The 22,555-nt window shown below is 43.1% G+C and overlaps 1 protein-coding gene across 7 annotated transcripts in view, besides 1 other annotated feature; it reads left to right on the top strand.

Annotated features, from left to right (window-relative positions):
- The window catches only part of ENTREP2 (endosomal transmembrane epsin interactor 2), a 557,698-nt gene that overhangs the window by 366,318 nt on the left and 168,825 nt on the right, over positions 1-22,555 (top strand). The window lies entirely within an intron of this gene.
- Positions 718-797: an enhancer, noted in NCBI's record as "active region_9166". NCBI's record gives its function as "activates an Ori minimal core promoter by ATAC-STARR-seq in GM12878 lymphoblastoid cells {active_cell/tissue: GM12878}" and the evidence as "EXISTENCE:reporter gene assay evidence [ECO:0000049][PMID:35858748]".

Genomic DNA, 22,555 nt, shown 5'->3' with positions numbered 1-22,555 from the left:
GAAAAAGCACACCAATTTATATATGTTTTATGTGACTCAGGAGCCCTCATAAGGAAATGAAGACCCAGAGAAGTAGCAAAACACAAATGCTTTTATACCAAGATGGACAAAGAGAGGCAGCTGGGGACAGGTACACTGTGTGGGGAGGCTGAAGGAGTAAGAATCATTTCACAGGGTCTCTTGGCTCTTCCTCCCCATCGAAGAATGTTTCATTCTCCTGGTGAGGGAGGACATCTTTCACATGGCAATGTTTATCTCCTATTTTCAGGAAGAAAAGGGGTGATTAGAATGTCCTTCTTGCCTCTGCTGTTTTTCAAGGGTCTTTAACTGAAAACAGTATGCCAGAGCTCCATATGTTGGGGTTGGGTATTCTGAACATCTTCAACGTCATTCTAAAAATAATTCCTGTTATGTGCAAGGTACCACTGCAGCTGCTTTATATATGTGGACCATTCACTGCCTCCAGTCACCTGCAAGGGAGCTCCTATCCCTGTGTTGCTGAGGAAGAAACTAGGGGTGGGAGGAAATGCAGTGAGCGCTAGGGCCGCACCGCTGGTAAGGGGAGGCAGCTGACTCAGGGGCAGGTCCACTCGGCGCCCAGGACAGGGTCTCCCTGTGGCACTGTGCCGAGTCTCTGCTTTGCCTGGTCCTGTGAACTGTCATTATCAGTAGTGAAAGTGTCTAAAACAAGTCACCACGCTTTCCTTTTTTCTTTTTTTTCAGACAGAGTCTCTGTCAGCCAGGCTGGAGTGCAGTGGCATGATCTCCACTTGCTGCAACCTCCACCTCCCTGGCTTAAGCAATTCTCCTGCCTCAGCCTGCTGATTAGCTGAGATTACAGGCGTGAGCCACCACACCCGGCTAATTTTTGTATTTTTAGTAGAGACGGGGTTTCACTGTGTTGGCCAGGCTGGTCAAGCATCAAGACAGTTCGAATTCCTGTTAGGAGTAATTGTTGAGGTCAGAGTTTATGGAAGAAGTAATCTGTAGACAGGCATCCTAGGGGGAGAAATTTACTCAATTTAAAATTTTTCTCTCTCAGAAAAATCATAGAAATATATAAACACATTATTACTTATTTGTTGACATTACAACCCAACATATTGTTTCTCTTCTAAAATAATTTTTTAAAAACTCATTAATAGGTATTTTAGTCATCTTGGGGTGTCATAACAAAATAATGTAAACTGGGTGGATTAAACACAAAAATTTAGTTTTTCTCAGTTCTGGAGGCTGGAAAGTCCAAGATTAAAGTGGCAGCATGGTCTGGTTCTCGTGAGGACTTGCTTCCTGTCTTGCAGACGGCCGCCTTCCCACTGTGTCTTTACATAGCCTTTTCTCCATGTGTGTGCAGGTAGAGAGAGAGAGGTCTCTGTCTCTTTCTTCTTTTCTAAGGCCACCAATCCTTGTGGGTCAGGACCCTACCCTTGTGATCTTAGTTAGCCTGAAGTACCTACTAAAGACCCTATCTCTAAATATAGTCACATTGGTGGTTAAGGCTTCAACATATGAATGGAGAGGGCACACTTTAGTCCATAGCAATAGGTAAGTTAGTTTTTTCTCTAAATCTAATTTCTCCTTTTTAAATGTTTTGCTATGTTCATATTTCATCCAATATCTCTTGCAGTTGGATAGTAAACACCAATGGGAAGGATCTGTATCCAATGCCTGATCTACCTTAAACCACTAGCAAGTTCTTCATCTTTCAGTGTTAAAGTGATGATTATGATAGAAAGCAATGTCAATTATCAGCATGTTCAGGTTATTTAAACGTTTATTTTGACTTCAGGTTTTTTTTTTTTATGTTAGCTGAAGCATGACATGATCAGCTTTTAAAACATGGCTGTTCAAATTTTCCTATTTCGTCAGATAATTGTCAATTTTTTTTGTATAAAAGGAAGGATAGAACACCCTGTATGATTTTAGTAGAGAGATACATTTGAAATTAATGTTCTCATTTAGTTACAGAAAGCTAGAGAGAAGTACCACTATAAATAATTGAGTTCTTGGCAAATGAACTTAAAAATAAAAAAGAATATTTGCCAGCTGGGTGCAGTGGCTCACTCCTGTAATCCCAGCATTTTGGGAGGCCGAGGAGGGTGGATTGCCTGATCTCAGGAGATTGAGACCAGCCTGGGCAACATGGCGAAACCCTGTCTCTACTAAAATGTACAAAAAATTAGTCAGGCATGGTGGCATGCGCCTGTAGTCCCAGCTACTCAGGAGGCTGAGGTTGGAGAACCACTTGAACCAGGTAGGCGGAAGTTGCAGTGAGCTGAGATCGCGCCACTGCACTCCAGCCTGGGTAATCACGCCACTGCACTCCAGCCTGGGTGATCACACCACTGCACTGCAGCCTGGGTGGCAGAGCAAGACTCTATCTCCAAAAAAAAAAAAAAAAAAAAAAAAAAAAAAAAAAAAAAAAAATTACCAATTATTTTTCAGTATATCTTAGATACACTACTATAACTTCCTCTTGAGAAAAAATATGAAACAAGTGTAAAAACCTGGCATAGCATTATCAGAAATACAAGTATGTGCTTTTAAAAATGTGCTGAATTATAAAAGTTAATTAAAACTAAGACATTGTCATGTGGTATCCTAAACTTGTTACATATAACCTTTTCCATGAGAAAAGCAAACCTTTTTCTTCTCTGTGAGTGTAACTCTCTTGGTGTCTTCAAGCTTCTGGAATTATAGGATGGCTATTTCCTTTCATATTCAGGTGCACCGCCTTGCACCCCAATGCCCCACATTTAGGAAATGCAGCATGCTCAATTCCTCTTCCTCATCCCCCCCAAGGATCCTTGTGCCCAATTCAGGAGATTTTCCTTGTCATCCTGACTCCAGGTTCCTGTCTATGCTGAATGCTCAGGTTTCCCTGAGCCCTGCGCCTCCCACAGTCAGCCTGTACCACCCTACTTGCCCCAGTGGGCACTGCTTCCCATCCTGAAGGATCACCAACAACCCACTGGGGTATCGCAGCGCTGCCTGGGGCCCCAAGGCCCTCATATGGCCAAATCCCGCAGTCAGTGATTAGACTCTTCTCACCTGACCCCACAGCAACATTTGAAACACATGCTCCATGTGGCTTCCAGTTCGGTAGAGCTGCTCAGCCCTTCCCTACCTCACTGGCTGCTTCTTTAGCCCCTCTTGCTGGCTTTTCTTCCTAAAGGGGAAGTGCTTCAGCACGAAGCCCCGAGTCTTCCTCTCTATCCAGCTTCTCTCTCTAATGGGATTTCAACCAGACCCATGGCTTTAAAAACTATCTTTAGTTCAGCTTCTTTTTTGGGCTCCAGACTCATGTATCCAACTGGCCAGTCAGCACCTCCATATGGATGTCTGGTAGGCATTTCCATTTTAACACATCCAAAGCAGAATTCTTGATTCCACTCCCAAGTCTGTTCTTCTCCCCTCTGTTCTGTCCCAGTAATGGATACTGCCATTTACTCAGTTTCTGAGGCCAAAACTTCAACAGTTACCCTTGACTCTCGCCACTCCCTCTCTTCCTCTCCCTCTCAGCAAAGTGCATCAACAAGACCTGTTAGCTCTGCCTTCGTAGTATATCCAGGGTCCAGCCACTTCTCATCACCTCCAGCACAGCTTCTCTGGTCTGAACCACTTTAATCTCTTGCTGGACCAAGGCAGCTGAAATACTCTCCCTGGCGCTACTCCTGCCTTTGAATCCTGTGCACCACACAGAAGCCATGATGAACTTTTAAAAACCTGTAAGTCACCTCATGTCACTCCCCAGTTCAAAATTCTCATTTGTCTTCCAGTCTCACTCAGAATAGTCTTCTGAACTCATTGTGCCGTGCAAGCTCCAGTATGACTTGTCCTCTGCCCATCTTCTGGAACCAGAAATTCTGGCAGAGAATTTAAATGAAAAATTTATCTTTGCATTTGATAAGCCCTTTATTTGTTCATTCAACCAATATTTATTGAGTGCTTTTCAACTATTAACACTGTTTTGAGGATTTGAGATAGATCAGGGAACAAATCAGACCAAGATCTCAGCCCTCATGGAGCTCACATCCTAATGAAGGCATATAGTAATAGACTAAAAATGGTAACGTCTGTTAGAAAGTAGAACGTGGTACAGTTGGCTGAGGGAGTGATGGGGGCAGAAACTATCATTGTAAATAGGATGGTGACAGCAGAGCTGATTGAGCATGTGACTCTTGAGCCAAGTGAGGGAGTGAGGAGGTGAAGGAGTTTGCCTTGCAATGTCTGAGGCAGAGGGAATAGTCAGTACGGAGGCCCTGAGTGGGACTGACAGTTCTAAGAGCAACCAGGAGGCCCTGTGGCTAGAGGGAAGTGAGCAGTGGGGAGGAAAGAGAGGGGATCATAGAGGAAGGGAGAGGGAAGGAAACTGCAGGGCCTTGTAAGTCAATCTAAGTCCTCTGCCTTTTACTCTGTGTGCTGTAGGGAGCCACTGGGAGGTGTTAAGCAGAGAGTGTCATTGCCTGGCTTAATTTTTTAAAGGCCCACTCTGGTTGGTGAGTTGAGAGCAGGCTGCAAGGGAGGTCTTGAAGGAGGGAACAGGTAAGATGGCTGTAACAGTGTCATGGTTGTTTGCCATGTAGTCGTATGGTTTTGAGTGATTTTCTTAGTGTTAATTTCTATTTTTATTGCACTGTGGTCTGATAGTGTGGTGGCTATGATTTCAGTTTTTTTGCATTTGTTGAGAATTGTTTCATGGCTGATTGTGTGGTCAGTTTTAGAGTATGTGCCATGTGCAGATGAGAAGAATGTACATTCTCTTAATTTTGGGTGGAGAGTTCTGTAGATGTCTGTTAGGTCCATTTGGTCAGGTGTCAAGTTCAGGTCCCAAATATCTTTGTTAGTTTTCTGCCTCGATGATCTGTTCAATATTTTCAGTGGAGTGTTGATAAAGAAAATGCCATACAGCCGGGTGCGGTGGCTCACACCTGTAATCCCAGCACTTTGGGAGGCCAAAGCAGGCAGATCACCCGAGGTCAGAGGTTCAAGATGAGCCTAGCCAACATGGTGAAACCCCATCTCTACTAAAAATACACAAAAATTAGCAGGGCATGGTGGCAGCTGTCTGTAGTCCCAGCTACTTGGGAGGCTGAGGCAAGAGAATCGCCTGAACCTGGGAGGTGGAGGTTGCAGTGAGCCGAGATCACGCCACTGCATTCCGGCCTGGGTGACAGAGTGAGACTCCATCTCAAAAATAAAGAAAAAAGAAAGAAAATGTGGTACATATAAACCATGGAATACTATGCAGCCGTAAGAAAGAATGAGATCATGTCCTTTGCAGCAACATAGATGGAACTGGAGGCCATTATCCTAAGCAAATTAATGCAAGAACAGAAAACCAAATACCACATGTTCTCACTTATAAATGGGAGCTAAACATTGGGTACACATGGACACAAAGAAGGGAGTAATAGACACTGGGGCCTACTTCAGGGTGGAGGGTGGGGGAGGGGGGTTAGGATCAAAACACTACCTGTCGGGTACTGTGCTTAATCACCTGGGTGACAAAATAACCTGCACAACAACCCCCAACAACATGCCATTTAGCTCTATGACAGTGTACCCCTAAACCTAAAAAAAGTACCCCTATAACATGTGTCCCTAAACCTAAAAAAAAAATAAAAGGCTGAAAAAAAACCCAGTGTCATGGTTGGTTTTATGTGTCAGCATGGCCATGGGCTATCTGTCTGAAATCAAAGTCAGTTTGGTTGGAATCATCTGAGAAAAGCATTAAGCATTTCTGTGCAGCTGACTACATCAACTAAGAAAACAAATAGCAACTTGTTCAGAATGCATAATACAAATGTAAAAGGCTGAAATAGCTGCAAACAAATACAAACTAAGTGATGACATGAAAATAGACTCTTCCTGTCACCTTTTCAGCAGCTATGCCTGGGGCTGAGAAGGATACAGCAGGTGCCAGCAGCCCCATATTTCAAGTGGCAGGCCAGGCCACCCAGCCCCTGTGAAGGAGTGTCGTGTGGGCTCCGAAGTATCTTAGAAGCTTAGGGTGGAGTGGATGCAAAGTGGCTCCGAGTAGAAGCGGCCCCTTTGAGTCTGCTCAGACTGGCCTGCTCCTCCCTGGGTAATGCAGAGTTGGTCAGGTCTGGGGTCGCTGGGATCAGCCTCAGCTCATGAACCGGATCAGGATCCTCAGCAGGCGGCTGTGCAGCATTAGAATCAATTCCAAATGTGATGCCAGTCTTCCATTATTGTGGCATTTGGAAATAAATGTTGTGTAATTGATTTGGAGAATAAACAATAGGTAAACAAATAAACATAAAAAAAGCGAATATTTCAAGACAGAGCGTTCCAAAATTGACACGCCTTGCAAATTGCTCAAGGGTTCCAAAACCGTTCTTCTTTCTTGCGGGAAACATCCCATTTGCACCAACCCTCTTTTTCCGTTTTCTATGAAATGAGTTTAAATGGTTGGCAGAAAAAAATGGGATGTAATTATTTTTGGCAAGCAGAATAGGGTTATAAATATGCCCATTTTGAAGCTATTGTGAGAGCTCTTTTCTCCATTAATTTCTCATTCATTTGCAAATCTAATATAAAGTACTCTCGCTGTTAATGGACTTAAACTTTATCAACTTTCAGTAGAACTGATTTTTATTTTGCTTCAGCCGGCAAAGGATATTGCTGCAGTGTGAGTGAGCTGCATCTTCCTTTAAAACATGGGACTCTATACCTCCTTAACTCACCAGCATCATTCTACTTTTTAAAAAGTCAGTGAATGGGGATTTTTTGTATCAAATACCAAGACGATAAGTTGAATGAACAGCTTGGACTCATGATAAATTTAACAGGAATTTTTTTAAAATCTTGGTATGCATTTTTTAAATGGCTTTTTTCAGAATAGTTTTGGTTTTCCATTTTTGTTACATGGTCTTATTGGAAGAGAAGCTTCCACTCGACTGTCATATCAGATATTTGCAATATGAAGATGAAGAGTGAAAATGGGCCACAAACTGAGCAAACATCAAAAATGAAAAAAACAGGGAAATGGGCATGGGTTTAGAGCTTCAATATGCATAGTTAACAAACAAAGACCCCGGGTGTCTTAGTTTGTTCAGGCTGCTATAACAAAATACCATAGGCTGGGTAACTTACAAACCATAGACATTTATTGCTCACAGTTCAGGAGGGTTAGAAGTCCAACATGAAGGCACAAGCAGATTTGGTGTCTGGCAAGGGCTCACCTTCTGCTTCATAGATGGTACCTCCTCGCTGTGTCCTCACATGGTGGAAGGGGCTGGGAAGTTCTCTGGAGCCTCTTTTATAAGGACACTAATTCCATTCATTAAGGTTACGCCCTCATGATTTAATCACTTTCCAAAGACCTCACCTCTTAATACTATCACACTGGGAATTAGGTTTCTATATGTTAATCTCATGGGCCACAACGTTCAGATTACAGAACCAGGGTTTCCAAAATGCTACTTCCATTGGGTCATTCCCAGGGAGCCATCATTGAACGTACAACCATGCCTCTCCTTAGTCAAAGGTAGTATCTGGAGACACAGAATCAGACATAAAACTTAGTATAAAAAGTTTTAAACCATATTTATTTACTAAGTGTTTTTCTGTCAACTCTGTTATACTGCCTATTACCGTAAAATCACAGAAAAGCAGACGGTGTAGAGAACAAAGTGCTCTGATTATCTGAAATTTTTGTTACTGAAAACTCTAAGGACATGCATAAGTAAAAGTACTTCTGCCTTAGCAGATAGAAAATATTGAACATTATCTAATCCTTATGTGACAAAAGAAGACCTCTCAGTGATTCAAGGAAGTCCTTAAAAACTAGCATTGCTTTTCTCGATTCTGTTAAATAAAATTACCCTTATTTTTTATTTTATAACAAGTATTATTTTAGGTAGCAAGAATTGTAAAGAAAAACTGTTTTAAATAGTCCATGATCATACTGTCAAAAAACTCCTGTTGATATTTTAAAATAAAAATATGAGTAGCATGGTTAGAAAATCCAAACTTTGCAGAAAAGTGCTAAATGGAAAAGTAAGGCATCCTTCCCACCTGTATTTCAGTCCTTCTCCCTAGAACTTCCATTATGAATAGTGTTTTTTACTTCTTTCAGAAAACACTGATGATGCATATCCACACATATTTACCTGTATAGAAATTATTTTTTAAATGGAAATAAAAGGAGCATATTAAGACTATGTTCTGTTCGGGCACAGTGGCTCATGCCTGTAATCCCAGCACTTTGGGAGGCCCAGGCAGGCAGATCACGAGGTCAAGAGATCGAGACTGTCTGGCTAACATGGTGAAACCCCGTCTCTACTAAAAATACAAAAAATTAGCCGGGCATGGTGGCAGGTGCCTGTAGTCCCAGCTACTCGGGAGGCTGAGGCAGGAGAATGGTGTGAACCCGGGAGGTGGAGGTTGCAGTGAGCCGAGATCGCACCACTGCACTCCGGCCTGGCTGACAGAGCGAGACTCCATCTCAAAAGAAAAAAAAGACTATGTTCTGTACCTCGCTTCCTTCTCATAATAAATCTTGGTAATTGTTCATAACAACACATAGAGTTTTAATTCATTCTTCCTAATAGCAACATATATTCCATTTTAACCCAGTGATTATCTACCATTGGTGATGCCATGCCTCAACATCCATCCATCCCATCCACTCATCCATCCATCCATCCATCCATCCATCCATCCATTTATCCATCTATCTATCCATCCATCCATCCATGCATTTACCCACCCTCCCACCCATCCATCCATCATCCATCCATCCATCCATCCATCCATCCATCCATCTACCCACCTACCGATTCATCTGTCTACCCATTCATCCGTCCATCCATCCATCCATCCATTTCTCCATCCACTTATCCATCTGTACACCCACCCACCCACCTACCTACCCATCCATCCATCCATCCATCCATCCATCCATCCATCCATTATCCATCCATTTACTCACCTACCCATTCATCCATTTATCCACTCACCCACCCATCCATTCATTTACCCATCCATCTGTCCACCCACCTACCCATTCATCTATCCATCTATCTACCCATTCACCCATACATCCATCCACACATCCATCCATCCACCCACCCACCTAGCCATCCATCCATCCATTCATCCACCCACCCATCCATCTACCCACCCACCCACCTACTCATCCATTCACCTACCCATCCACCCATCCATTCATCCATCCATCCATCCCCCACCTACTCATCCATCTACCTACCCATCCATTTAATCAACAGCTAATGTTTGTGTGCTTTATTATATACTAGGCTCTGGGGATACAGCAATGAATAAAATTAGACAAAATATACCTGCCTCATGAAGCTTACATCCTCATGAGGGAAGACATAGAATAAAAGTATAGTTAAATAAGTTAACTATATTATATATTATAAAGTGATAATTACAGGCAGAAAGGGGGCCAGAGAGGGTCAGTGGGCACAGGATGGGGATTTTGATTTTTCATAGGGAGGCCAGAGAAATCCCACTGAGAAGTGACTTGAGAAAGAAGAATGTCCAGCCAGGTGGATGTCTAGTTAAGAAGGCCCCAGACAGAAGGAAGAGCAAGTAAGGTCTGTGATGCTGGAGCCTGGCTGGTGAGTTGAAGGAACAGTCAAGAAGCCAGTGTGCTGCAGCCACGTGACCTGGGGCTGAGTGGTAGGTAAAAGGTGACGCTGAAGAGGCAGCAGTTCATCTCCACCACTGCGTCTTTCCAGCAGAGGCCCAGACATCATGGAGCAGACACAAGCCATCTCCACTGTGCCTGGAGAATTCCTGACCCACAGACCTCATGACCATAGGAAAGTGGTTTTCAGCTGCTGAGGCCGAAGGAGTTTGTTAAACACCAGTAAGCTGTAGCCAAAACTCCTAAACCAAGTATGCTAAGAGTTTTTTTAACATGAATACTTGTTGAACACAGTTCTGTAATTTTCTTCATCTGTCACATAATCATAAAATATTTCTTCAACCTGTTATGGATAGACCAAGCTTCCTGGATCCAACCTTATGTGGTCATGGTGTGTTATCATTTTTATGTACTTCTAGTTTATTTCCATGGACATTACTCTTCTTTTTTCTTTTTTTCACTTTCAAGTCACGTTTGTTAAAGTTTTGTTTAGGATCTTTGCATTTATGTTCATGAGAGAGATGGTTCATATCATTTTCCTTCATGAAAGGTCTTATCAGAGGTTGGTACTAAGATTATGCTGCCTTTAGAAAACACAGTGAATAGTTCTTTTTCTATTTTCTGGAAGAGTTCATGTAAGACTGGTAGTATCTCTTCCTTAAATGGTCATTAGAATTAATTCACTGTTGAAGTCATCTGGCTGTAGGATTTTATTTCATGGAAGGTGCTGAATTATGATTCAGTTTCTTTAATAGTTACAATATATTCAAATTCAGTATTTCTTCTTCTTGTGTCAGTTTTGGTGGGTTGTATTTTTCTAAGCAATCCTCCATTTTATCTAAATTTTCAAATGTATTCCTATAAATTTGTTGATAATATCCTCTTATTAGCTTTCTAATGCCTGTAGGAGAAGTGATACCTCCTTTCCATTTCTGATAGTAGTTATCTATGCCTGCAGTTTGCTTTCTTCATCAATCTTACCTCAGATTTGCCAGTTTTATTAATTATCAATGAATTGTTTTTCCCTTTTTATTGTATTTTGAAATTTTATTTCATTGCTTTCTGTCTTTATTATTCCTTTTTTTTCTCTTTTCTGAAGATTTAATTTGCAGTTCTTTTTCTAAATTCTTGAGATGAATGCTTAGGTCATTAATTTTCAGCTTTACTTCTCTAATAAATGCTCTCAGGGCTATAAATTCCCTCTAAACACAGCTTGACTTGTATCCTATTAGTTTTAATATCATTCCGTTCAAATTATTTTCTAATATTGATTATTTCTTCTTTGATTCATAGGTTACTTAGAAGGATATTAATTTGTGAACATAGGTTTTCTAGTATCTTTTTGTTATATAGTCCTAGCTTAATTATACGGTTGTCAGAAACCATACATTTTCTGTTTCAAACTTTTGACATTTGTTGAAGCTTGCTTTTCTGCCCCATGTGTGGTCAATTTTTGTCCATGTTCCACAAGTTTAAAAACCATGTGCATTCAGCTGCTAGATTCTTTTATTGTTTCAACACTAAATGTGCATCCTTCAGACACTGCAGTTTAGTTTTGTTTTGTTGGATTTTTTTAAAGTCTTTTTGTCTCCTTTTATCTTAATGGGTCATTTTTCCTTATAGTCTAGCTGTTCAAGAGCCGAAGCATTTCACCTGTAGACCCCGCATGGATTCACTGATTACCTACTTTTGCTGCAGTTCAAAATGTTCCTGTGTTCTGTATATTTCCTGTTAATAAGCAACAGGATTTAGAGGCCTGATCAGACTCCAGTTCTTTCTCTTTGGTAAGATGATAGGTGGGATTCTGTTCATTCATAAAGAGGCATGCCAAAGTCTGGTGTTCTCTGTGATTTTAGCAACTTTTAATGTGTGATGCCTGGATTCATTAATACACTGAAGGTTGCAAACTGATGATATTCTAATTCTACAATTTCCTCATCATTTATTAGTTTGATTATTTGATATAGAGATGGTACTAGTTATCTACTGTGCTTTGTTATTTCCCTTTATCTGTCATCAGGAGAATACATTGGTTTTTGAGCATCCTCTAGAAGTGGCCAAATGGTGTTTTTGTAAAGATCATTATGAACTTCATAGACATGTTTTACTCCCTGCAATTATTATTCCCTATGATGCGTACACTGTTCTAAGTTTGGCCAGTGTGAGCTTTCCATATGTCTTTTGTCAGTGTCTCTTTGGTCATTTTGGTTGTCTGAAACTTATTCTCTAGTGAATTCATCTATTAAGTTTTGAGCGTATGCTGGACATTGTAAATGTGATACGGCTGAGTGTCTGGATTTTAGATTTTGTTCGCTTCAGAGAGTGTTGAATTTTGTTCTGGCAGGTAGTTAGTTCATTTATTTGTGGATTAGCTTGGTGCTTTTGAGTTTGTTTTTAAGATTTTTTATGGTAGGTTTCCAGCAGGGGTTGGTAAACTTACTGTAAAGGACCAGGGTTTATGGGTCACAGATGGTCTGTGACATATATTTCTTCATTAAAATGTAAAAGTCATTCTTAGTTCACAGGCTATATGATAACAGGGCAATAGGCCACATTTGACCCATGTGCTACAGTTTGCCAACCAATGGCCTAGAGTAACCCTTACTCTAGAGCTGAGATAGACCTGCTCTTAAGGGATGGCCTTTCTAGAAAGCTCTGATTTGACCAATTCTCTCCCTGATGGATGCTCTGTTGTTTTAAACCACCCAATTTGTGGTACTTGATTACAGCAGCCCTAGAAAACTAATACATATCCCAATCCAGTTGTTACTGTAACTAGGATTACTGGATTTATATGTTATTTTAGTAGAACTGACATCTTTATAGTATTCAATATATGTAATGTTTAATTTAAAAAACATCAAGTTTTATGATTTTCTGTAGAGTTTCAGAGTTTTTACTTTGCTTTAGGTTCATAATATTTTCTGTCGATTTTGGGCCTAGTTATTTTGTAGTTTTGTAACAATTTTTTAAAGGATCTCTTTTTCCAATATTTGTTCTGAGGATTTCATGTGTTTTTTAAAATAGGTCTAATTCTGCCTTCTATAGCATCTTACATTTGCCCTTCTGTAGATTCATTCTTAGCCCTTCTGTTTCTCTCAATCCTATAATCCAAACTTTCAGGAAATCCTACAAATCACCCTGAATGTAACTATTTCTCATCACCTCCACTGCTACCCCCTCATCCAAGCCACCATCATCTCTTTTCTACATTACTGTTTCTATTAATTGGGATTCTCTAGAGAAATAGAATCAGCAGGATGTGTATATATACATAGAGAGAGATTGTTTTCAGGAATTGGCTCATGGTGTTGTGGAAACCTGCAGGGTAGGCCAGCAGACTGGAGACCCAGGGAAGAGTTACAGTTCGATCCAAAGCCCTTCTGCTGGCAGAATTCCTCCTTGCTCAGGGGAGGTCAGTCTTGTTCCCTTGAGGCCTTCACGTGATTGGATGGAGCCCACACACATATGGAAAAGGTTTCAAAGTTTTTTATACAGCAGTCCCCTCTTCCCCAAGGTTTCACTTTCCACAGTTTCTGTTACCTTTGATCAACCATGGGCTGCAAATACTAAATGGAATATTCCAGAAACAGACAACTCACAAGTTTTAAATCCACTGTTCTGAGTCGCAGGATAAAAATCTCCTGCTGTCTTTCTTCATCCCTTTGTCCAGCGTCTCCAGGCTGTCCACACTCCCCACGTGGCCGTCACTTAGTAGCCAGGATGGTTATCAGACATACATCGCAGTGCTTCCGTTCAAGGAACCCTCATATTACTTAATGGTGGCAAAACACAAGAGTAGTTTTACTGGCATATTGTTATAATTGTTCTGTTTTATCAATAGCTATTGTTATTCTCTTATTTGCTTAATTTATAAACTGTATCATATGTATGTAAGTATAGGAAAAACTGCTGCGTAGGGTTTGGTACCATCTGCAGTTTCACGTATCCACTGGGGGTCTTAGGATGTATCCCCCTAAGGATAAGGGATGAGTACTGTGCTGAGTTTTATGTCTGATTCTACATCTCCAGATGTCGCCCTTGACTCAGTAGAGGCCTGGCTGTCAATTCAGCAGTGGCTTCCTGGGAGTGACCAGGTGGGGGACACCAAGTGGGAAAGAGGTGCAGGGGGACCTGGCCCTCCCTGAGGCCATGCCACTCCTCTTCTCCCACTCCAGCTGCCCATCGTCGTCAGTGCTGACTCCAGCTTCATGCTTTGAGGGAGGCAGCATTTCAGATGGAGCACAGGCAGGGGTTTTCAGTAGACAGTTCATTCATTATTTCCTCTGGAAGTTAGAATAAGCACATTCACGAAGTCCTGATTTACATGGGTTTTTCACTGTTCTTGGAATGAAATCCAATCCAAGGGTCTTCATGAACTGACCCCTGTCACCCTGTTTTCTCCCTCCCGATGGTCTGGCTCTAAGAAGCTTCTCTCAGTGCCTGGGCTCTGCACATCCCCCTCCATCCTTGCAGCACCGACAGCCTTCTCCCTACAGCAGGAGACTGGCGGCTTGGAGCCTGCAATGAAGAAGGCTCCCCACAGGGTCCCAGCCTCGGGACTTCACTTTCCAAGATGCCAAATTGTTCCTCAGACACCTTGACCTGTGCCTCTAGAATGCAGACTTAGCTACTTTCATCATTGTTTTCTGGGTAACTGTAAATAAGACACATTCAATCTCCTTGTGGAAAAGAAAGCACAATATTTTCTGTCAACCACGTTGCTGGAACCCTTTTCAGAAAGTCACGGCGTTTTAATATCATCCTGGAAATTATGGCACTTTCATTTCCAAGATTCTAAGATTTACCCTTGTTTATATATGGCTGTTTGGTTTCCCAGGTAACAAATAACAGTGAGTGGGTCTGCTGGAGGAAATGTGTGAATGTCTCCTTTTTTGTCAACTAAACCTTTCTAGGACAGTGGACTTGGTCCTGTAGCAAAAGAGACACGTTTGCCTCATTTCCCCACTGTGGAGGCCCAGGGCGGGCTGTCTCCCTACTCATCCCACTGCTGACCTGCAGAGACCCAGGACAAGTGCAATTCTATGCCTGGACCTCCTTCTGCCCCTCAGACTCGTCACCATCTCCCTCTGTTAGCAGGGAGTGGGCTGAGGTTGAAGGCAAAGTTGGTTCCTTCTGGGCTCTGGCCACTAACGGGAGTCTGCCCACACATTGCCTGCTTCTTTGAATTTCCAGAACCTTTCAATAACGCTGCTTCCAGGATTGGTCAATGTGCTTTCCCCTCCCTGTTTCCTCATTCCTGGGCCCTAATCCCAGCTCCTGGGGCTGGGGCTCTGGCTGCCCATACCCACCCTAAGTCTCCTTGTGTTGACTGTCCCCCCAGAGGGCCCTCTTTGCTTCTGAGCACCAGACCTAGTGGGCAGAGGCTCTTGCTGTCTGCTCTGGGCTGCAAGATTCCTTGGCAGTGACATGGGGGGTGGAGGTTAGGCTGCAGGGAGCATCAGAATTGTAGGCCCAGCTCCTCTTCCCAGACAATCTCCCCCCACCCTCAGTTTCCCCACAGTTACTGCAGGATGCGCTGTGAGGACAGCATGAAGGCACTGTCTTGGGCATGGCAGCGAACCCCAAAGAATTCCATTCCCTAGAATACCTGGACTTGGCATGGTGTGCAGGCAGTGGAGCGGGGGTGGAGGGTGTGGACCCCACACTCCATCTCTCCATTAAGAGAGTTGCTCAGCATGGCCAACTTCCACGCTTCCCCGAGTGTGAAGTAAGCCATGCTGCAGGATTAGAGCCAAGCCAAGGACAGAGGGGACGGCCTGGACAGAGCGATGCCCACAGCAGCTCACACCTGCTTCTGGGCCTGCTTGCATCCCCACTCTCTGCCTGGGACCTGGGGGAACCCTTCCTGGTTCTAAGAGTCAATAAATTTGGCCGGGCGCGGTGGCTCATGCCTGTAATCCCAGCACTTTGGGAGGCCAAGGCGGGCGGATCACAAGGTCAGGAGATCGAGACCATCCTGGCTAAAACGGTGAAACCCTGTCTCTACTAAAAAAAAAAAAAATACAAAAAATTAGCCAGGCATGGTGGCGGGCGCCTGTAGTCCCAGCTACTCAGGAGGCTGAGGGAGAATGGCGTGAACCCAGGAGGTGGAGCTTGCAGTGAGCCGAGATTGTGCCACTGCACTCCAGCCTGGGGACAGAGCGAGACTCCGTCTCAAAAAAAAAAAGAGTCAATAAATTCCCCTTTTTGTTTGAGGTAACGGGAGTTGAGTTTCTATCACTTACAACCCAAAAACCTCCCTACCTAGTGCATCTCTTCACTTTGGTTTTCTGTCCTCCTCCGGAGCCTTTGCCTGACTTGAAGATCTTAATCCAGAAAAAGCATCATGTTAAGCAGTGGATGTTGGGCCATGAGCCATATAGACCCAGCCTTTTTGTGCCATTATCTTTGACACATGGCCACTCAAATAGATTCTTGTAACTACACAGCTGTAGTAGAGAATGCAGCATTGTGCTTTAATACTAAGCAGTATTGAGAAGCCATAAGTTTTGATTTTTATCTTTTTCTCATGGCAAATGTATTTGGCCTGCATCTGGTATTCTTTATGACCACGTATGTTAACAGTAGAAAAGAAGTGAGGAATGAAAGAAGCAACTGATTGGATTTATCCTCTCTCTAGCCCTCTCCTTTTAAAACCAAAGATGTACAGCTTCTAGATGGAGACCTTATAAATTTTCCAAGCCATATACATATACATGATCTTAGTACACACTTCTGTGTTTTATGGAATATATGAAAACGCATTGCTGGGCGCAGTGGCTCATGCTTGTAATCCCAGCACTTTGGGAGGCCGAGCAGGGCAGATCACCTGAGGTCAGGAGTTCAAGACCAGCCTGGACAACATGGTGAAACCCCATCTCTACTAAAAATACAAAAATTAGCCATGCGTAGTGGCACGTGCCTGTAATCCTAGCTACTCGGGAGGCTGAGGCAGGAGAATTGCCTGAACCCAGGAGGCAGAGGTTGCAGTGAGCTAAGACCGTGCCATTGTACTCCATCCTGGGCAACAAGAGCAAAACTCCATGAAAAACAAGAAAGAAAGAAGGAAAGAAAGAAAGAAGGAAGGAAGGAAGGAAAGAAGGAAGGAGATTCATATATGAAATTATGTACTGAAGAAAGAGAAAAAGAAGGAAAGAAAGGAAGAGAGAAAGAAAAGAAAAGAAAAAGATGGATGAAGATTCATATATGAAATTATGTACTGAAGCCTGTCAGTGATGATCAGTAGTTAAACTGGTGAAATGCCTTGTTAAGAACATGAAAGTGCTGGCAAAGTTGCAGTAAGTGTCAGTCTCCAGCAGGTATTCTTTGGGTTATGCAGATAGAATTCCTATGAAAGGTGGGAAGATGGATATAAATGATAGCACTCAGGATAGTGTCCACTAGTAGAAAATCAGATCATGAGATGGGAGCCTGGATTGTGTCCCAGCATTGGCAAACATTGGGTGGTGGGGCAGTTTTTCAGACCTCACAGGGCTTTATCTGATTTAAAATGGTAATAATAATATTTTCCTTTTGTTCTTTGAACTGATATTTTAAATGTACTCTGAACTTCTTGGAAGAAAAAAAAAACCTATGCAAACCTAAAAGTTTTGCTGTTCTTAGCAGTGGTTACAATGAATATTCAAAATAAATAGGTATTCACGAAATAGTTATTGTTTATCACTATTTCTCCTGAAGCACCATTAAAATGACAATAAAAGAATAAAAGAAAAAAGATTCAAACTCACAAAGAGGAGATGAACAGATGGAAAATGTCAGCAGCATTTTGGAAGCACGAGAAGTGTATCATTGTGTGGTTGGCTTCGATTTCTTTCTGCTTATCCACCATGCTGAGAGCTGGGGGTCCAGGGTGGGGCAGGAAGAAACAAGCTGATTTGTGCCTCAGGGCCCTGCAAGGGCTCAGGAATTAGAGTCACCAGATGTCTCTGAAGGCAGGAATGTGGATGGGGCAAAAGGAGCACTGGTTTACAGTCTGTGATATGCAGGCAACCCCCTCAGAGCCCCAAATGGAGCCTGTGCAGCTTTGTAACTGTCCATCTGACCCCAGTAGCAGACAGAGGTTGAACCAGAGAGACATCAGAGTACAAGGATGTCTAGTACAGCTAAGGCAGGAGTGGGGGTGCCTGACAGAAGATCGTCAGGATGAGATAGTCTATGCTGCAGTAACAAAAAAACCCTTGAAATTTCAATGGCTTAACGTAGCAAAGGTTTGTTTCTTAGTCACAAATGCATAGTATGGACTGGATAGCTCTTCAGGGCAGCTTTCCTCTGTGTGGGAAGGGAGGTAATGAGACCCCTTCCATGGCCCCCAGAATTGCTGTCTAGGGGGAAGAAAGGGATGGGGGAGGCACCTGATGGTGAGCACCTCAGGCCAGAGGGGACACACCCCTTCTACTCACATGTCCATTCACCAGACTCAGGCACATGGCCCATCCCAGCTGCAAGGGAGGCAGGAACTGCAGGGGGGCACATGGATGTTCTGTGAACACTGGGATTAAGTCACTTGGGATTAAGTGAGAGCCTTTGAAGAGATGAGGCCGCATCTCCATCGGCCTCCTCAGCTTCACTCCCTTTGGCTCCCACAGTGCTGGCTGCTAGTCTCAACAATGCCCTGGCAGGAGCTGCAAGAGTCCTTTCTATAGAAGTTCACGGCCTAGAGAAAGGAAATCACAGGCAGAGGAACCTACTGGTGAGGCCCACGGATAGACAAGCTCTGTCTAAGCACAGACAGCATCAGTCAGCATTTGTGTTTCTGTCTTCTTATGTGGCCATTCTTTTAACAGAATTGTACTGAGCGCCTTCTGTGTGTTAGAAGAGCTCTGGCTCCTACGGATATAACAGTGAACAAAAGAGGCAAAATTCTCATTCTCCCAAAGCTGCATTCTTGTGCAGGGAGATTGATCATACAGAATGGGCAGATAAATCATATACCAGATGCAGGTGAGTGTTATGGTGAAAAAGTAAAACTCGTTCAAAACCTCGGGAGTATGGACATGGGGTGATACCTGAATATAGAGTCATGGGAAAGGGCTCATGGTCCCCAAGACCTGCAGGAGGCAAGGGAGTGAGCCGCGTGATTCTGCAGGGGAAGAACTTTCCAGGCAGAGAGGACAACCCGTGCAGAGCCCTGAGGTGGAAGCACGCCTGGCACACTCAAGGAACAGACTGCGAGGAGAAGTTATGGCTCGGGAGAGTGCCCTCAGGGAAAGTAGGAGGTGAGGCTAGACAACAGGGGCTGCCCGGTGTGCAGACTGGTGGGGGATTTTAAAGAGTTTGACTTTTTTGAGGACCATTGTGGTGGTGAGGTGAGGAGGGACTTGCAGGAGGGTCCCTCTGGTACCTGTGCCCTGGGAGGCCAGGGCCAGATCCACAAAAGCAGTGAAGGAATGAGATCCATTCATGTTGCCGCATTTAGCCGTAGTTCCTCCTTCTTATTGCTGTACAGTGTTTCGTCGTATACATCCTGCATTTTATTTATGCATTTTGTTGTTGATGGACATTTAGATTATTTCAATTTGGTGACTATTACAAATAATGCTGCTGTGAACTTTCACTTATATATGTATATATATATTTTTTGAGATGGAGTCTCACTCTGTCACCCAGGCTGGAGTGCAGTGGTGCGATCTTGGCTCACTGAAACCTCCACCTCCCGGATTCCAGTGATTCTCCTGCCTCAGCCTCCTGAGTAGCTGGGTTTACAGGTGCGCACCACCATGCCTGGCTAATTTTTGTATTTTTAGTAGAGATGGGGTTTTGCCATGTTGATCAGGCTGGTCTCAAACTCCTGACCCCAGGTGATCCACCCACCTCGGCCTCCCAAAGTGCTGGGATTACAGACGTGAGCCACCACACCGTGCCTCATATCAAATCTTTTTGTGCACTCTCTAGGAGTGAAATTTCGGGGTGCATAGGTTCAACTTTAGTAGATAATGCCAGATCATTTTCCACAGTGGTTGGTCCAGCTTACATTACCCCACCAATGTTCCTGTTTTTCCCCATTATCACCCGCACTTGATGTTGTCAGTCATTTTCATCTTAGCCATAGGGTGGTGAGTCATGGTGTCTCATTACAGTTTTGTTCTGCATCTCCTTGATTGCTAATAAGGTAGAGTGCCTTTTCATGCTTACTTGACATTTAGATGCTCTTTTTCTTGAAGCCCTTATGTTCCATTGTGTTATGTGCATTTTTCTTTTCTTTTTCTTTTTTTTTTTTTTGAGACAGGGTCTCCCTCTGTCACCCAGGCTGGAGTGCAGTGGCGTGATCTTGGCTCGCTGCAACCTCTGCCTCCTAGGCTCAAGCAATCCTCCCACCTCAGCCTTCAGAGTAGCTGGGACTGCAGGCATACACCACCACACCCAGCTAATTTCTTCTAATTTTTTGTAGAGACAGGGTTTTGCCACGTTGCCCAGGCTGGTCTCTAACTCCTGAGCTTAAGCAATCTGCCCACAGCCTTCCAAAGTTCTGGAATTACAGGCGTGAGCCTCTGCACCCCGCCCATTTTTCTTATTTATTTTGTATGTTCTGGAAATGATCCCGTCATTGAGTTATTTGTGATTTGTTGGGCGGATATATACATATATGTATGTACATACATACACATGTACATATATAGTTATGTGTTATGTGCTTAATGACAAAGGTGTTCTGGGAAATGCATGTTGTGTAGACATCATAGAGAGTACTTACTCAAGCCTAGATGAGGGTACAGCTTACTACACACCTATAGGCTATAGGGTACAGCCCATTGCTCCTGGACCATAAACCTGTACAGCACGTTACTGTGCTGAATACTATAGGTGACTGTAACACAGTGGTGAGCATATGTGCTTCTAAACATACCTAAACACAGAAAAGGTACAGTAGAAATATTGTACCGTTAATTACTACACTTAATATAGAGTTATGAGGGAAGATCTCACCATTGCTGGGGACCTGAAGGAGGCAAGGGAGTGAGCCATGTGGGAAGAACTTTCCAGGCAGAGAGAACAGCCAGTGTAGAGGCCCTGACAACACCAGGTGTTGGTGATGATGGGGAAACAGGAGCAGGAGCACTGTGCTGGGCGTTACAGTCAAACGAGACCACTGTGACATACGTGGCCCAGACTTGCCTAAAACAGCATTGTGTGGCACATGACTGTATATGCACACACGCACGTATACAAATATGCATACAGAACAGTATGTGTTTCTTGCTTTCAGAGGCTTGCCTTTTCAGTGGTCTTTTTGGTGTCTTGATTTAAAAAATATTTTTCCTACCTCAGGGTCACAGAGTTTTTCTCCTGTTATCATCAAATAGCTTTATTTTCCCACCTATATTTAGAACTACAGTTTACCGAAAGTAAATTTTTGTTTAAAAAATGTAATTTCATTTTTCTGTATGAATATCCAATTGATCCTGGGCTATTTATTCAAAAGACAGTCCCTTCCCCACAGCTGTGCAGTGCCATCTCTGTGACGAATGAGTGTCCTCCTAACCGTGGGTCACTTTCTGGATTCTCTGTTCGATCTTGTTGGTCTTTTTGTCTATACTTGCATTAATACCAGATTGTCTTAATAACTATAGATTTATAAATAAGACTTGGTATCTATAACATCAGCATTTTGTTGTTCAGACTTGTTTTGCTATTCAGGGCCATTTGCATTTTCACATGAGCTTTTTAGTAAATTGGTCAAATTGTATAAAGAAACCCTGCTGGAATTTTTAATGGGATTATATTGAAGCTTTTGATGAATATGGGGAATATTGATATCTTTACCGTAGCATGTCTGCTATGAACATGTATTTGGGTCTCACGTAATTTATCTCAATATTGTTTTATAATGTTCTGAGTAGAGGCACTGCATATCTCTCATTAGATATATTTCTACTTTAAACAAAATAAATGTGTGTGTGGTATTGTGATTGAGTATGGTGTTTTGGTTATCTATTGCTGTGCCACAAGCCACCTCAAAAGGTAATGGCTTAAAACAACAATAGTTTTATCATTCCTCAGGATTCCATGGGTTTTCTTTTTTTTTTTTTCTTTTTTTTTTTTTTGCTGGTCTTGCCTAAACTTTCTTCTGTGATTGCAGTGTAGCTGGAGCAATCCAATTGTAACCGAATGCAGGCACGGCTATTTGCTGCTTGCAAAGCCGAGAACAAGGATGCAATACAGTGAAAGGAAAGTGACTTTATCCCAAAAGCTTTCTTCCCCATTCCATGGGGAAATGGCCGCGGATAGTGCCTGAAAGAAACCATTTCAGCTTTTTGGGTCAAGGTTAAGGGCTTAAAAAGGGTGTTTGGTATGAGGGGCATGCAGGAGTGATGAGGAGGTGCCAGTCTACATGACTTGTTCCTATGACTATCTTGCGTTATTGCCCCATCTGGTGAATGGGCTGGTGCCATCTTGGGTACAGCCCAGTTGCAAATTAACTGCAGCTTGGAAGTAATCTGCAGGTCAGGGAGAATCCCATAGTGGCCCGAATTGTTTCAAGATTTAGTCTCTGGAACTTCTAAACAAAAACATAATTAGATGAGGGAAACATTGTGCCAGGGAGTTCCTGGTAGAAGGAGGGAGAGCAAAGACTATTATCTCATGCTAAGGGCAAGACAAGGAACAGGCAGGAAGGAGAAAGAAGAAATACTTTTTAAAAACAGGACACTCAATTACATAATGGTCTAAACGGCCTCACTCTTCTATTTGGAACTTTGATGCTGGCTGCTGAGCCTTTCCTGTCATCCCTAGTCAGTGGCATGGGCTGAGCTCTGTCCGTGCAAGGAGAGCACTACAGTGGGGACCGTGGCCAGAGGACAGAAGTAGAGGTGTCAGCCTCCGAGGCCGGGGCTCCAGGACTCAGACAGTGTCACTACCGCCGCATTCCATTGTTCAAAGCAGGCCACAAAA

The sequence above is a fragment of the Homo sapiens genome, chromosome 15 (genome assembly GCF_000001405.40).
Source record: "Homo sapiens chromosome 15, GRCh38.p14 Primary Assembly".
Classification (NCBI taxonomy): domain Eukaryota; kingdom Metazoa; phylum Chordata; class Mammalia; order Primates; family Hominidae; genus Homo; species Homo sapiens.
The sequence above is the reverse complement of the archived record's forward strand: the minus strand, read 5'-3'. Positions and strand labels throughout refer to the sequence as shown.